At 44.6% G+C, this 15449-nt stretch overlaps 1 long non-coding RNA gene across 1 annotated transcript in view; it reads right to left on the bottom strand.

The window, feature by feature from the left end:
- Nucleotides 1-15449, bottom strand: part of MMP2-AS1 (MMP2 antisense RNA 1) — a 35501-nt gene that overhangs the window by 18601 nt on the left and 1451 nt on the right. Inside the window, exons 2-3 of the long non-coding RNA NR_147198.1 lie at nt 7375-7463; nt 1467-1551 (exon numbers count right to left, since the gene is read on the bottom strand). This is a non-coding gene — a long non-coding RNA (MMP2 antisense RNA 1). The remainder of the gene's footprint in view (nt 1-1466; nt 1552-7374; nt 7464-15449) is intronic.

Consider the following 15449-nt stretch of genomic DNA (forward strand, 5'->3'; position numbering starts at 1 on the left):
TGGCCTGGGGTAAGATGCATGCTGTGGGTGCCAGGCGTGGTGGCTCAAGATGCATGGTGTGGGCACCGGGCGTGGTGGCTCGTGACTATAGTCCCAGCACTTTGAGAGGCCAAGGTGGGAAGATTGCATGGAGTTTGAGACCAGCCTGGGCAACATAGTGAGACTCTGTCTCCACAAACAAAAAGAAGGCAGGCATAGTGGCACATAGCTGTAGTCCCAGCTACCTGGGAGGCTGAGCTGGGAGAATCGCTTGATCCCAAGAGGTCGAGGTTGCAGTGAGCTGTGATTGTGCCACTGCACTCTAGTCTAGGTGACAAAGCAAGAGCCTATTTCAAAAAAAGAAAAAAAAAAGATACACGGTGTGTTTGACCCTCGGATTTTTTATGTGAAAAGGGGTGGAATGACCCTCACCCAGGACTGTCATGAGAATGATATGAGCTGGTGCACATGCGTTTGGTACAGAGCATAGAAGCATAAAAGCTCCTGTTAGTGTTCACAGCTAGGGATCTCAAGCAATGTGCAGGAGAGAGGTATCCCGGGGTGACTGCACTTTTAGAAACTCCCTGGGCACTGGTGTTGAAGGAGCATTGTCTAAGTCTTCCTTATTCTTGACTGATATGGGGGCTGTGTGTGCACAGCAGTAGAGACCCGGGTCAGGATGCGGAAGGCGGGCCCCATCCAAGGGAGTGGGGGCAGCTCAGTGTCAGGCACTTATCACCCTGGGTGTGTATCCCAGTGGCGCTACGTAGCAATGCCAGGCCTTCTCCCTCTTCAGGGAAACCAGGAATGTGGAATTTTATGTGAAAGCTTCTAAGTTTTGAGTAGAGATCACTACAAGTCTGCACGCCATTCCTTGAAACCACTGGGGTCAGTGGTATTTCAGTATTTAAATTTTCAGATTTAAAAATATTATACAATGAGATCACCATTTATAACGTGACATCTCCAAGGGGGGTCTGGGAAAACATGTCACAGCCAAGCCCATTAATAATTTGGCATCAAAATAATTATACTCATGAAGAGTGGTGAGACATGGGACTCAACACTTTCTCTCCTTGTGGGGACCAGGCCAAGCCCCCACCACACTGGCAGAGTCAAGGCGACTGTGGCTGAGGCCTTGTGACCCAGTTTCCTGCAGCCAGCCCCACTCACTCCCAGGAGAATCATAGAAGCCATAAAGCTTTGGGATTCCTGAACTGAAAAGGCCATGACAACCACTGTGTAAACCCCATAAACACTGCATAAGGTCACCACACAGCTCCAAGTGACAGAATCCCAAGCCAAATAGGCTTAAATGAAGAACAGCAATAGCAATCAAGTTTATTAGGTTATAGGAGAGAAAAGTACAGAGGTGTCTGTTCAGGATCACCTGGATCCAGGTGCTCCAACAATGGCCCCTGGAGTCAGTTTTTATCTCTCTGCTCCACGTTTGGCTGTGTTGCTTCCTTACTCACACAGATACTTACCTCATGGTAGCAAAAAGGCTGCCAGAAGCTCCAGCTCCACATATTTCTGGGATTGGTCCCCTGGGAAACAGCATCTGTTCTGTCCCTAGAACAAAAGCCATGGGTTATCGCTAGGGCTCTGAAGGGGTCCTTTGCCCATCCTGGAGCCAATCACAGCAGTCTAGGTTCCCCGCCGGCCTGGAACTAAGGATAGGTTCCTTCTGGCCCATTCTACCCAGAGTTCAGAGCCAGAGAAACTGAATGGAGGCCTGGGTGGGGGCAAAACCGTAGGTGTCTATTACCAGGGTGACTCAGGAAACCCTTTCATTTCAGCAGAGCAGACAATGAAACTAAGAGAGGAGGTGAGATTTGGCCAGAGTCACACAGCAGGGTCACTGGCAAAGTCAAGGTTGTGACCCCGACATCTCACGGTTTGGAAATCCCTGCATTGTACCACATGTGATTAGTGGAGCCTGCTTGGAAGCCTTCCCCCATTTCCTATGTCTCCTCTCCCCCCGAGGGGGAAGAGATGAGGAAAACCAATATGCTAACAAGCACACGCCCCCATGAGCGTGCACGCGCGCGCATGCGCACACGCACACACAAGCACATAAGCCTTATGAGCAAAAAGATCACAGCACTCTATTAGCAAGCTTGTGCCAGAGTAACCACAATTTATCTTTTCTTCTCTTATACATCCCTCATCTCTGGAGAGGTCTCTACTGAGTCCAGCACAGAGTTAGCACCCAATAAATGTCGCCATTATTATTGTTGTAATTATTATTTCTCATACTATGAATTACTCTCTTCCACACTCTCCTTGGCCTAATCTGTTAATTTACCTTGAGGTGCAAATGATTAAGCAGAGTGAGTATGAATGGCCAAGCAGAAGGACCAAGGGAGTTGGCATTTTTAATAAGAGCCAGAGCCTGAATTCAGCAAAAGGCATAAAACCCTCATAATTATTAACGTGCATAGCTCTTTCCAGTTTGCAGACTGGTTTCTCATTCACCTCATTTGATTTTTAAAAAACAAAAAACAAAACCGGAAAACAACCCTGTGAGTGAGATTAGAAGGGAATCATCTCCAACCACAGATAAGAAAGCCAAGCACTCCCGAAAAAACATTTAGCTAAGGTTTTCCAGGTTTTCCTGGGAGATCTGGGATAGAACTGGAGTCCTAGTTTAGAAGCATTTTACTAAATGTACATGTGTATGCATGCATGCACATAAGCATCCACACACACTCATACTGTTAGAAATACAGGCCTGGAGTGGTGACTCATGCCTGTAATCCCAGCACTTTGGGAGGCCAAGGTAGGAGGATCACTTGAGGCTAGGAGTTCAAAACCAGCCTGGGAAGAATAGCAAGACCTTGTCTCTACTAAAAATAAAAATAATTAGCTGGGCGTGGTGGCGCACATCTAGAGTTCCAGCTACTTGGGAGGCTGAGGTGGGAGGATCACTTGAGTCCAGGAGCTGGAAGCTGCAATGAGCCGTGATTGCACCATTGCACTCCAACCTGGGCAACAGGGCATCCATGTCTCAAAAAGAAAAGAAGAAAAGAAGGGAAAAGAAAAAAGAAAAGAAGAAAAGAAGGGAAAAGAAAAAAGAAAAGAAAGAAAGAAAGGAAAAAGAAAGAGAGAAAGAAATGAAAGAAAGAAAGGAAGGAAGGAAGGAAAGAGAAAAAAAGAAAGAAAGAAAATAAAAGAAGGAAGGAAAGAAAGAAAGAAAGAAAAAAAGAAGGAAAGAAAAGAAAGAAGGAAGGAAGGACAGAAAGAAAGAAAGAAAGAAAGAAAGAAAGAAAGAAAGAAAGAAAGAAAGAAAGAAAGAAAGGAGGGAGGGAGGGAGGGAAGGAAGGAAAAGAAAGAAAGAAAAAAAGGAAGGAAGGAGGGAGGGAGGGAGGGAGGAAGGAAGGAAGGAAGGAAAGAAGGAAGGAAGGAAGGAAGGAGAGATATTGCAATACAAATAAACAATGTATTTAAAAGCTCACCAAGTCATGAACACTCATAGGGCCTTACTTACATTACCCATGCCCTGATTTAACTTTGCATAACAGTATTAAAAGCTCCTTGGGCCACAGCAAGGCCACCACATTGACCTCTTTTCCTACCTCCCACTTTTATTTATCTCAATTATGATGAAGACTCTTTTCCCTTTGCTAACAAGAACTCTATTCAATTCAATGAACATTTACTGATCTCCTAGAAGGTAATTAGTATCTCCATTTTACTGACAAGGAAACAGAGATTCAGAAAGAGTTTAAGTAACATGTCTAAAGTTGTACAGCTAGACCTAACCATTTCCTCCTGTCGTCGTCTGGCCCAGGTGACCTGTCATTTGATTCTACCCAATTTCTCTCTTTCTGAAACCAGGAAGCATGGGTGTTCAGGTCCTAATCATGAAAAAAGTGGGAAGAAAGTGGTTTTTCCTGGCCTCCACTTCAGGCCAAGTCAGGTGCATTCATTCACTTGACAATATTTACTGAGTTCCTACTATGTGTTAGTTCTCTTAGCCTTGAGGTTTTGAAGGGTTTGCAGGGTAGAAGAGAAAAGAGAGAGAACAGTCCTTTTTAATTAAAGTATAATTGATTCCATAAATGTTTGTTCTTGGGCTAAAGCCTATATTGGCAAACACCAATGGAAAAATAAGTTCAAGAATCAAACCAGCAGTATTGTATACATATCTCATCTACATCTATATCTATATATATTTATGCATAATATTCTATTTTAGTAGGTAATACATACATGTGGTGGAAAATTTTAAGTTGCAAAGTCTCTTTCACATACCAGCCACCCAGTTTCACCCCTTAGAGACAATGACTTGTTTCTCATGAGTCTATCTAGAGAAAGTGAAGCATGTACTATTGAGTCTGCTTATTTCTCCAGAACCTTTTCAAAAAATATACTGTCAAACTTTGTGATATTTGCCAATCTGGCCAATGAAAAATAGTACAATTGACCCATGAACAACATGGGGGTTGGATTGCCAACTCCCATCACGGTCCAAAATCTATGTGTAACTTTGGTCTCCCCCAAAACTTAACTACAAATAACCTACTGTGGACCTTACCAATAACATTAACAGCTGACACATATTTTGTATGTTATATGTATCATATAGTACAATCTTACTATAATGTAAGCTAGAGAAAAGAAAATCATTAAGAAAAGAAAATGTATTTACTATTCATTAAGTGGAAGTGTCTGCCTTTTAGGCAAGCACAGTTCATGTAACATTTTTTTTTTTAATTTTGAGATGGAGTCTTGCTCTGTCACCCAGGCTGAAGTGCAGTGGTGTGATCTCAGTTCACTGCAACTTCTGCCTCCAGGGTTCAAGCGATTCTCCTACCTCAGCCTCCCAAGTAGCTGGAATTACAGGCACCCGCCATCATGCCTGGCTAATTTTTGTATTTTTAGTAGATAAGGGGTTTCATCATGTTGGCCAGGCTGGTCTCGAACTCCTAACCTCAGGTGATCTGCCCACGTCGGCCTCTGAAAGTGCTGGGATTACAGGCATGAGCCACCCGCTCCTGGCCTTTATGTAAATTTTTCAAAAAAAATCTTCGTGTAAGTGGACCCGTGCAGTTCAAATCCGTGTTGTTCAAGGGTCAACTGAATTTCATTTTCCTTGAGTGGCTTGCTCATATTCTCAGCACATTTTTCTGTTCAGTCATTTAACTTTTTCTTATTGATTTATAGAAATTCTTTATGCATTCAGAAAATTTGTTATTGTAAGATGGGAGCTGCAAATATTTTTCCACATTTATTTTGCTTTACTTTAATGTTTGCTTTTTTGTTATGCAGCCTTATAAAGATTTTCTTGTAGGCAAATTGATCAATGTTTTCTTTTATGGTTTCTGATGATTCAGTCATATTTTGAAAAATCTTACCAATTCTGAGATTATTTTAAAGTTTCTCTATATTTTCTTCAATTCTTTTATGTTTTAGTGTATGTATAAAAACATTGATTCATCTGGAATTTATTTTTGTATAAGTTGTGAGGTAGGGATCCAACTTTATATTTTTTCCAGATGAGTACCCACTTATTCCAAATATTTATTAAAAGATGTATTAAATGAGCCTTCTTTACCCTAGTTTTTGAAGTTCCCAAACTTTAATAGCAGCTGTTATTTCAGTATTCTTCACTTATTTCATCGCTGGAAGGTTATATAATGATCTCGAACTGATAATACCACTCACAATGCTTGTGGAAGCCATTTTGCACAAAGTTTAGATGATATAGATAAAACTACTTTGATGAAGAACAAGGGCAGTAAGTACACACCAACCAAAGAGCTACATCCAATTGATGTTATAAATAAAAAACATGGTGGGAATACTTCACATTATGCAACTCTGATTGTGTTTAGGTTTCAGCCACCAAGAGAAAAAAATATTTAAATACCAAAACGGGGTATGAAAGTGCATTGCTCTGTAAGCAAAAATTTGTCACACGAAAGTTGAGGAGGGTCTTATGTGAAATGCAATTCCTAGTACACGTCAACTCATCCCTAGCTAGGACAGCTTCCAGAACGTGCTGCTAAACTTGAGGTTGTGACCCTGCAGCCATGACACTCAACCGCCCCTCAACCAGAGCTCACCTCATTGCTCTACAGCAACAGTTTTAACTACTGGAGCCTGCCTGGAGCTTGAGGTGATCCTCGGACCTGCCTCCCACCAGGGAAGGCCTAAGTGCTCTTTAATCTTCTTAGAGCAAAATCCACTGAGCAAAATTATAATTTGATATGGCTGCACTTAACCAATAGAAACTCATAAACCATCTTAACATCATAATGCATTGTGAAAAAGAATTGCTAAGTACCATGAAACATATGAGAACCCCAGGCTTCCATTCATCTCTAGCTTTATGCTAGGGCAGCATATTAAAGTGATTTCAACTTCAGAGCAGAGCTCCCCAAAGAGTGCTCCAGTCTTAATTAAAATGTCAATGAAATACAAAAGTGCATAAGGGACACTTTCCGAAATCATTCCTTTTTAGCTTCTGGATGGCCGGCTCATCCTTTCCTCAAGTCTGCCTGCATGCCTACTCAACACAAGCACCCAAACTACCTTTCTTTACTGCCATGAGGGAGCCCTTACTTAGACTTTGCGGCTTTTTGTTGTTGTTGTTGTTGTTGTTTTTGAGACGGAGTCCCACTCTATTGCCCAGGCTGGGGCGCAGTGGTGTAGTCTTGGCTCACTGCAACCTCTGACTCCCAGGTTCAAGCAATTCTCTTGCCTCAGCCTCCCGAGAAGCTGGGATTACAGATGCCTGCCACCACGCCCAGCTAATTTTTTTTATTATTTATTTATTTATTTTGTATATTTAGTAGAGATGGGGTTTCGCCATGTTGGCCAGGCTGGTCTCAAACTCCTGACCTCAGGTGATCCACCCACCTTGGCCTCCTAAAGTGCTGGGATTATAGGCGTGAGCCACCGCACCCAGCTGCCTAGACCTTTTACCATTCCCATGGGAGACTGGAGCGAGGTGGGCTGCAGAGTCTTCTCTGCATCTTAAGTTAAGGCATTGGTTAACGTCGCCTGGGTGCGCAACCCAGAACTGCAGAATGCCGGATGAAGGGGAAGATTAGGGCAAAGTAAGAAAACACCAGCCTCAGACTGGCTGGTGCAGCATCAGCAAACTGAAGGGAACGAGAGTGACAAAAGATTTTCTTTAAGTTAAGAGTTGATAATGCAGATACCTATGGGGCTGACCAAGTGATGTAGCTGAGGATATTGGGGAGGTGTGGGGACAGTAGGGAATGGTAGGGACTGTGGTGAACCAGAAATCATTCTCCCTTCAAAAGGAGCAGCTGCTATTCAGCTTCAAGATCGTTTTCATGTGGAGTGCAAACCTGGTGTTACTATGTCTTTTGATTTTTTTTTTTTTCAAGAAAAGCCAGAGCCAGCTGTGGTAGCACTTACCTGTAATTCTAGCTACTTGGGAAGTTGAGGCAGGAAGATTGAGCCCAGGAGGTTGTGGTCAGTCTAAGCAACGTAGCATAACCCTGTCTCTTAAAAAAAAAAAAAAAAGAATAAAAGCCATAAATCTGCACTTTTAAGATGTGAAATCTCCTGATTTTGTACTGGCTACTAATTATTTGAAACCTTTGTGAGGGTCAACTGTATTATACACACACAAAATATATGTGGACAAACTCCGGCCTTCAATCCTGGGAGGGGGCTGTTAGGCCTCAGCTTTGTACCTTTTCTTAATTTTAGTATCCATTCATCCATCCCTCCATCCATCCCTTTATCCATCCATCCATCCATTCATATATCCATCCATTCATCCATCCATTTATGTATTCATCCATCCATTCATTTATCCATCCATCCATTCACTCATCTATCCATCCATCCATTCATTCATCCATCCATGCATTCATCCATCCATCTATTCATTTGTTCATTCACCTATTCATCTATTTATACGTCCATCTCTGCATCTATTTATCTACTGAATATTTATTAGTGCCTTCAGGTGTAAGATAATGAGATAGAAATGGGAATGAGTCCAACCCCAAATCCAATCTCATCTCCAGCCTTATCCTGGTCCTATTCTTGACTTTGGAGAGGGAGACAGCCAGGTATACGTTTTAAATAATATTGTGTGCATACTTTTACAGGCCAGAGATTAAAAGTCAATGCTGGCTGGGCCCCAAGGCTCATGCCTGTAATCCCAGCACTTTGGGAGGCTGAGGTGGGAAGATTGCTTGAGGCCAGGAGTTTGAGACCAACCTGAGCAACATAGCAAGACCCTGTCTCAACAAAAAAAATAAAAATAAAAAAGTCAGTTGTGTATAGTGGTGCATGTCTGTAGCCCCACCTACATGGGAGGCTGAGGAGGGAGGATTGCTTGAACCCAGGAGGTCAAGGCTGCAGTGAGCTATGATGGCGCCACTGCACTCCAGCCTAGGTGGCAGATGAGATGTCTCTAAAAATAATAGAAAACTAAAAATTTTAAAAGTCAATGTCCTTAGACCTGTCTTGGCCTCTCAGTTGTGTGTGACCTTGAGCGAATGCCTTTCCATCTTTAGGCTTCTCCTTTTCCATAGCACAAACCAGAGAAACATTTATGAGACTTTAAGTTGGCACAGTGGTGATTTCTGCTCAGTCCTTGATCTCATCTCAGGCCCAAGGCCAATGCTGATCTTTGTGCTGACATCACCTCTGTTTAGAGAGCTTGTCTTAATAGGCTTCTCCTGCTTGAATCTGCCCATGACTTCCTCCTTGTGCCCTGCCTGGACCATAGCCACAAGAAATGCTTCCATAATTGCTGAGATTGCAGCATTTCGAGTCTTTAACAATGGAGAGCCTAGGAAAGTGGCATCCATCACCACCTCAGAGAGTAGTGACTGCCTGGGCTACAGCCAGAGAGCTATTGCCAAGTGAGGGACTTCCTCCTCTGTCCCCTGGCAGTCCTAACCCTGTCCTTATGCATGGTGGGGGCACGTACTTTTCTTTCTTTCTTTTTTTTTTTTTTTTGAGACAGAGTCTCGCTCTGTCGCCCAGGCTGGAGTGCAGTGGTGCGATCTCGGCTCACAGCAAGCTCTGCCTCCCGGATTCACGCCATTCTCCTGCCTCAGCCTCCCAAGTAGCTGGGACTACAGGGGCCCGCCACAATGCCTGGCTAATTTTTTGTATTTTTTTAGTAGAGACAAGGTTTCACCATGTTAGCCAGGATGGTCTTGATCTCCTGAACTTGTGATCCGCCCGCCTTGGCCCCCCAAAGTGCTGGGATTACAGGGGAGGCACGTACTTTTAATAACGCGGGGAAGGCAGGCCCTGCCTCACAGGTGGTGGCCCTTCTTGCTGTTGATGTGAGGTCCCTGGGAAGATGCCAGCCATAATCATCCACCACCTGATGCCACAGACAGCTTGTGAGGGCAGTGCCCCTTGACTCCCACTTCTGCATCCCTGGTACCTTTCACAGAGATGGCACATAGCAGGGCAACGTTGGTAGATTAACTGACTCACTGGGGAAAGAATCGTTTCACTGATGGAGAATTCAGGAGCCAGAAAGGAGAAGAAACTTGCCTAAGGCCTGTTCCTCTCTTCTCCCTCTCACTGTCTTCATACACACCACGTGCGCGCACACACACACACATACACGCACACATCCAGATACCAGACAGGCACATACAGTCACACAGACGCTCACACAGAGATACTCAGTTCCCAGACAGACACAGTCACATGCAGACACTCACACTTACACATAAACACTCAGATACCAGACAGACACACACACTCACACTCAGACACTCACATTCACACATAAACACTCAGATACCAGACAGACACACACACTCACACAGGGACACTCACACACTCACACACTCAGAATGGAAACATACACACATGCACGGACTGCTATAGTCTAAATGTCAGTATTCCCCAAAATTCCCATGTTGAAATCTTAACTCCCAAGGTGATGGTGTTAGGAGGCAAGGCCTTTGGGTGGTGACTGGGTCATGAGGTAGGAGCTCTTGTGAATGGAATCAGTGCCCTCATAAAAGAGGCCAGAGAGAGACCTCTTGTCTCTTCAACTACATAAGGACATAGCTGGAAGTCACTGTCTGTTAACCAGAAAGGGATCCCCCACCAGACACTGAATCTGCTGGTGCCATGATCTTGGACTTCCCAGCCTCCAGAACTGTGAGCAATAAATTCTGTTATTTTAAGTAACCCAGTATATGAAATGTTGTTATGGCAGCCCAAATGGACTAAGACACAGGCACACATACACAGACAGACATACACAGACAGACACATAGACACACCCCTAGAGATACATGCTTACACACTCAGACACACATATGTACAGACCACATACACATAGATACATGTATACATAAACACATGCACACAAACGTGTATATACACAGGCACATAAAGACACACATATAGACACACACTGTCACACACACATACACATATAGACCTTCTCTAATCTTTTCCCTGCCTTTTGCTCCTGGAAGCCACTCCTGTATCAACAGCAATTCACCCAGTCCTCTTGCTCAAACTCATTGTCCCAAGTGCAGAGGTGCCCTCTCTCTTACACCTCTGTCAAAGTTACACACGTTGTCAGGTTCATGCTAAATATTTGACTTCTCATTCAAGTTGCCCCTCTCAGGAAAACCTTACCCTTGAAACAGAGGTCTTCCTCCTGGGCCTTAGGAAAAAGAATCAACCTGGAAGGACATTTCCACTGGTGGGGAGAGATTTCCTCATCATTCTTCAAATCCAGTCTTCAGGAAGCATTTAATTCTCTTGAGACATGAGTAGGGAACACACCAATTCATGGCTTTGGCCAGCCTTGACCTTGAGCTGGATAAAACATTTTTGTCCAGAGTTGTAAAAATGCAATGTAGCTTTTTTGATGAAAAGCTTAAGATGGGCCAGGCACGGTGGCTCACGCCTGTTATCCCAGCACTTTGGGAGGCCGAGGTGGGTGGATCACCTGAGGTCAGGGGTTCAAACCAGCCTGGACAACATTGTGAAACCCTGTCTCTACCAAAAATTAGCCAGGCATGGTGGCGCCCGCCTGTAATCCAGCTACTTGGGAGGCTGAGTCAGGAGAATCACTTGAACCCAGGAGGCAGAGGTTGCAGTGAGCCAAGATCGCACCACTGCACTCCAGCCTGGATGACAGTACTAGACTCTGCCTCAAAAAAAAAAAAAAAAAACAAAAAAAAACGCTGAAGATGGTGCTGTTAGACCATGAATGCCCACTTTCTCTGTGCCTATTTCTCAGGGTTTTCATTTTTCCTTATCTGCTTATCTTTTCCTTTGTGTCTTAGCTCATGAATCCGTATATGTCTCCTGCACACGGTTGCTGGTTTGGAGCCTTTTGGGGTCTGTTTTCTGATCATCCATCCAGCAAGAGACCTTTACTCAACTGCTGTTCAAAATTTATGACACTGTGTCATCTCCAGCAGACAATTTGGCCATAATTTAACATTTGTGTCCTTTCAAATAACTCAAATGCTTTTTTTTCATTGTCCTAGATGCCCTATTTGGGAGGCAGGGATGGGAAAGACATGCCTGGGTTTGCTTTGGCTTTGTTTGAGCCAGTTGCTGAGAAGTAGTATATATTTTGTTCAGCTCATCTGTCTTTCCAGCTTTTGATCAATAGCAGAGTATGTGTTTTTTATCCAAAAACTAACCAAATGTATTCAACAGATTATACATTAATTTTACCATCATGACATCGTATGAACAGATAATCCACAAAAAAGCTCCATATTTCCTAAAAGTGAATTTAATTATAAGTAGTAATGTGTGCTGGAGAATTATAATTATGAAAAGTCATGTTCTGTAAGTCTGAAATGACAGATTATATTTCAAAGGCTTATTGCAGAGGAATTAAAGGACCCAATTTATTAGTTGTAAATGTATGATTATTGCAGCTTTGCTTTACACACACACACACATGCAATCACAGTATATTCTAGCTGGATTTAATACTTATAATCCTTTCGACAAGAACTGTATTTTGCACCAAAAGCTGCCACTCCATTAATTTGTTTGTGAGACAGAGACAGGCAACTAATCTTTGCCTTTTGATTCCTGAATAGCAATAATTTCAAGTACTTTGTGGGCATGTTTTGTGCCCCTTACTCCCATCCCCACAAAGTGATTAAGAAGTTGACATGGATTGAAGAACAGAAATATTATTGCCCAAAAAGAAACAGAGAGGGTCTCATGAAGGCTGGGAGGTGCTGAGGCTGCAAAGGACTTGGGCCTGGGCTATTTGTTCATACAACGAATATTTATTGAACGTCTGCTATGTTCTAGGCACCATACTAAGTATATTCTACCTGCTACCTCAATTGAGCCTCTCAGAACAACACTCGAAGGTAGATATATTGTAAACTTATTTCACAGATGGGGAAACTGAGGCTCAAAGAAATCATCAACTAACCTGCCCAGGGTAACCGAGTTCAAGAGTGGTGGAGGCAAGACGTGAATGCAGGTGTGTTGGTGAAAACACACACTTCAGGGCAGTCTGGCACATCTACAGCCGCATCAGGTGGAGTAAGAGGGCTGTGTTTATAACACTCTCAAAGACAGAGCTGGGGAAGGAGGAGTCAATTGTGCTGGGTCAAGATGTGAAGGATGGCATCAAGGGAAGCCCAAAAGGATAGAGTGAGACATTGTAGACACAACATTGAGCCACACCCTGAAGGAGAAGAAAGTTTCTCCAGGCACAGAAAGAGTATTCCTGGCAGAAGGAACAGGTTGCAAAGTAGACAGGTTCAGAAGAACATAAAGAAAAAGGGCCTTGTGTTTGCAAAGGTGTGACAAGGACTAAGGGTGTAAGGGAGAGCTGAGGAGAGGGACAAAAGGCAGAGGCAGGAGGTAAGCCTGGAATAGTCCATGGCAAAAAGCCTTTACTGCCAAGCTAAGGAGTTTAGTTTTCTCCTGTAGACAATGGGGAGCCAGTTCATGAGCATGAGTTGGTTGTATTGGAGGACGAGATGGTCAACTCACTTGCCTACAGGGCCAAGTAGGTAAGAGATATGAAAGACAGACCTAGTGAGATTGGGTTCAGGCCTGTAATCCCAGTACTTTGGGAGGCCGAGGCAGGTAGATCACCTGAGGTCGGGAGTTCAAGAGCAGCCTGAGCAACATGGAGAAACCCCGCCTCTACTAAAAATATAAAATTAGCCAGTTGTGGTGGCACATGCCTATAATCTCAGCTACTCAGGGGGCTGAGGCAGGAGAATCGCTTGAACCCGGGAGGCAGAAGTTGTGGTGAGCCAAGATCGCGACATTATACTCCAGCCTAGGCAAAAAAAGTGAAACTCCATCTCAAAAAAAAAAAAAAAAAAAACAGAAACAGCACATCCTAACAGTAACCATCCTGAAAGGGTGGTTCCTATTTTGTTTCAGTTTACTGTGGATACTGGGAATTTGCTAAGAAAGGCTAGAAATACTAGTGACTTGGTAGACTGATGGCAAAAATAGCCCCAATCTTCCACGTCTTCAAACTTTTTATAAGTGACTTTGTACCCTCTCCCATTGCAAGCTAGAGTCTATTTCCCCACCCGTTGAATCTGCTGTGACTCACTGAGTGTGTCAGAAGCAAAGTTGTGTCTGTTCTGAGCCTAGGCTTCAAGTGGCCTTGCACATTTCCATCCTCTGCCTTGGAAGCCGCCTCCACCGTGAAGACAAGCCCAGGCTGCACTGCTGGGGACCAGAGCCCACACAGAGCAGAGCCACGCCATCCCATGGGCTGCATAGACCCGCCCAGCTCGGCTGACCCATCAGCTCTGCAGATGAAAGAGAGCCCAGCCTAGATCAGCTAAGCCTGGATCAGCAGAACCACCCAGCCAGCCTGTAGACTAATTTTAAAAAAATGTATGAAACCATTATGCTTTGGAGTGGTTTGTTAGGCAGCAACAGCTAACGGATATAGCAACTAATTCATGTTTTAAAAAGCAGCTCAGGCCGGGCACCGTGGCTCACACCTGCAATCCCAGCACTTTGGGAGGCCAAGGCAGATGGATCACTTGAGGCCAGGAGTTTGAGATCAGTCTGGCCAACATGGTGAACCTCTGTCTCTACTAAAACATCAAAAATTAGCTGGGTGTGGTGGCACACACCTGCAATCCCAGATACTCAAGAGTCTGAGGCAGGAGAATCACTTGAACCCGGGAAGCAGAGGTTGCAGTGAGCCGAGATTACACCACTGCACTCCAGCCTGGCAATACAGCGAGACTCAGTCTCAAAAAAAAAAAAAAAAAAAAAAAGCAGCTCTATGTGACTCCCTCCCTCCCCCTACAAAAAAATAGAGGGTTCAGAGACTCAGTCAACAGCATTTCTGGTTCAACAAGCATCAAAACTAGCTGAGTTCTAGGTCACTGGGGTGGGGCAGAGGAGAGGTCTAAGGACATTTCACACCCTGACACCAGTCTGTCCTTTTCTTGGGGGTTATTTCCAACCACAGACTCCTTTGCAGCCTCAGAATCCCCGAAAGCAGCTCTCCCAGGCCCCACCCAGCTTCCCTCCTGCAGTGCTTATGCCCAGTTCATGCACCAGTCTCCAATCCAGCCATCTCCTCTCACCCCTGGCCCTCAGCTTCATTTGCCTGGGCCTGTGACACCCAAGGTCTTGGAACCCTATTAGGTTGGTGCAAAGGTAATTGTGGTTTTACCATTGAGTAAAACCACATTTACTTTTGCACCAATGTAATAGATGCTGAAAAAACGGCCTTGTTTGGGAGCTCAGGAAAGCAGCTGGCTGAATTCAGAGAGACAGGACTGACTGGGATCCCCACAATCCTCACTCTCCTGGGGAATGGCCCCTCCGAAAAGCACCCTGCAGCCCCCGGGCTGATTTCATTGGGATATGCAGGAAGCCAACCGCTCCTGCTCACAACAACTACTCAGCACTGACTGTGTTTCAGACACCATCCTCAGCATCAGATGAGCAAAATCTAACACTCTCAGATGCCATCTGAGGTGGGCTTACTGAATATCACCCTTGGAAAGATGTGGAATTGTAAAAGAAGAAAAAAGGACCTCCCTTTGCTAGAGTGGGATCTTATTTCCGGCAGCCAAAGAGGCCAGGGCTGAAAAACGCCCAAATGGCCTCTGAAGCAAAATCTCACGATGAAACAAGCCTCAAAAAGCATTTACTAGCATTTCTGGTCATGGCTGTTACGGATGAAATGGTGCCTCACCTTCTGCACCCCCTCTGGCCCCCACACCTTCTATGTTCCTATCTCAGGGATTCTCCACAGGGACCTGGAAGGACAGCTGAGTGGACCGAGAGATCACACGGAGCCACTGTGAGGGGTCAGGGGATAGGGAGAGTGAGCTGCCCAGGGTGGCTGCAGAGAGGGGAGCTTGGGGAACAGAGACCGCAGGGAGAAAGAGCTGAGTGCAGCCTGAGCCCGTGATTTTCAAGCCCCGCCGCTGGCCTCCTAGGGTTCTTGTAATCATACTCCGACTCCCTTCTCCTTAGTTAGTCTAAGGGGGCTTCTGTTT

This window comes from Homo sapiens, chromosome 16 (genome assembly GCF_000001405.40).
Source record: "Homo sapiens chromosome 16, GRCh38.p14 Primary Assembly".
Lineage (NCBI taxonomy): Eukaryota > Metazoa > Chordata > Mammalia > Primates > Hominidae > Homo > Homo sapiens.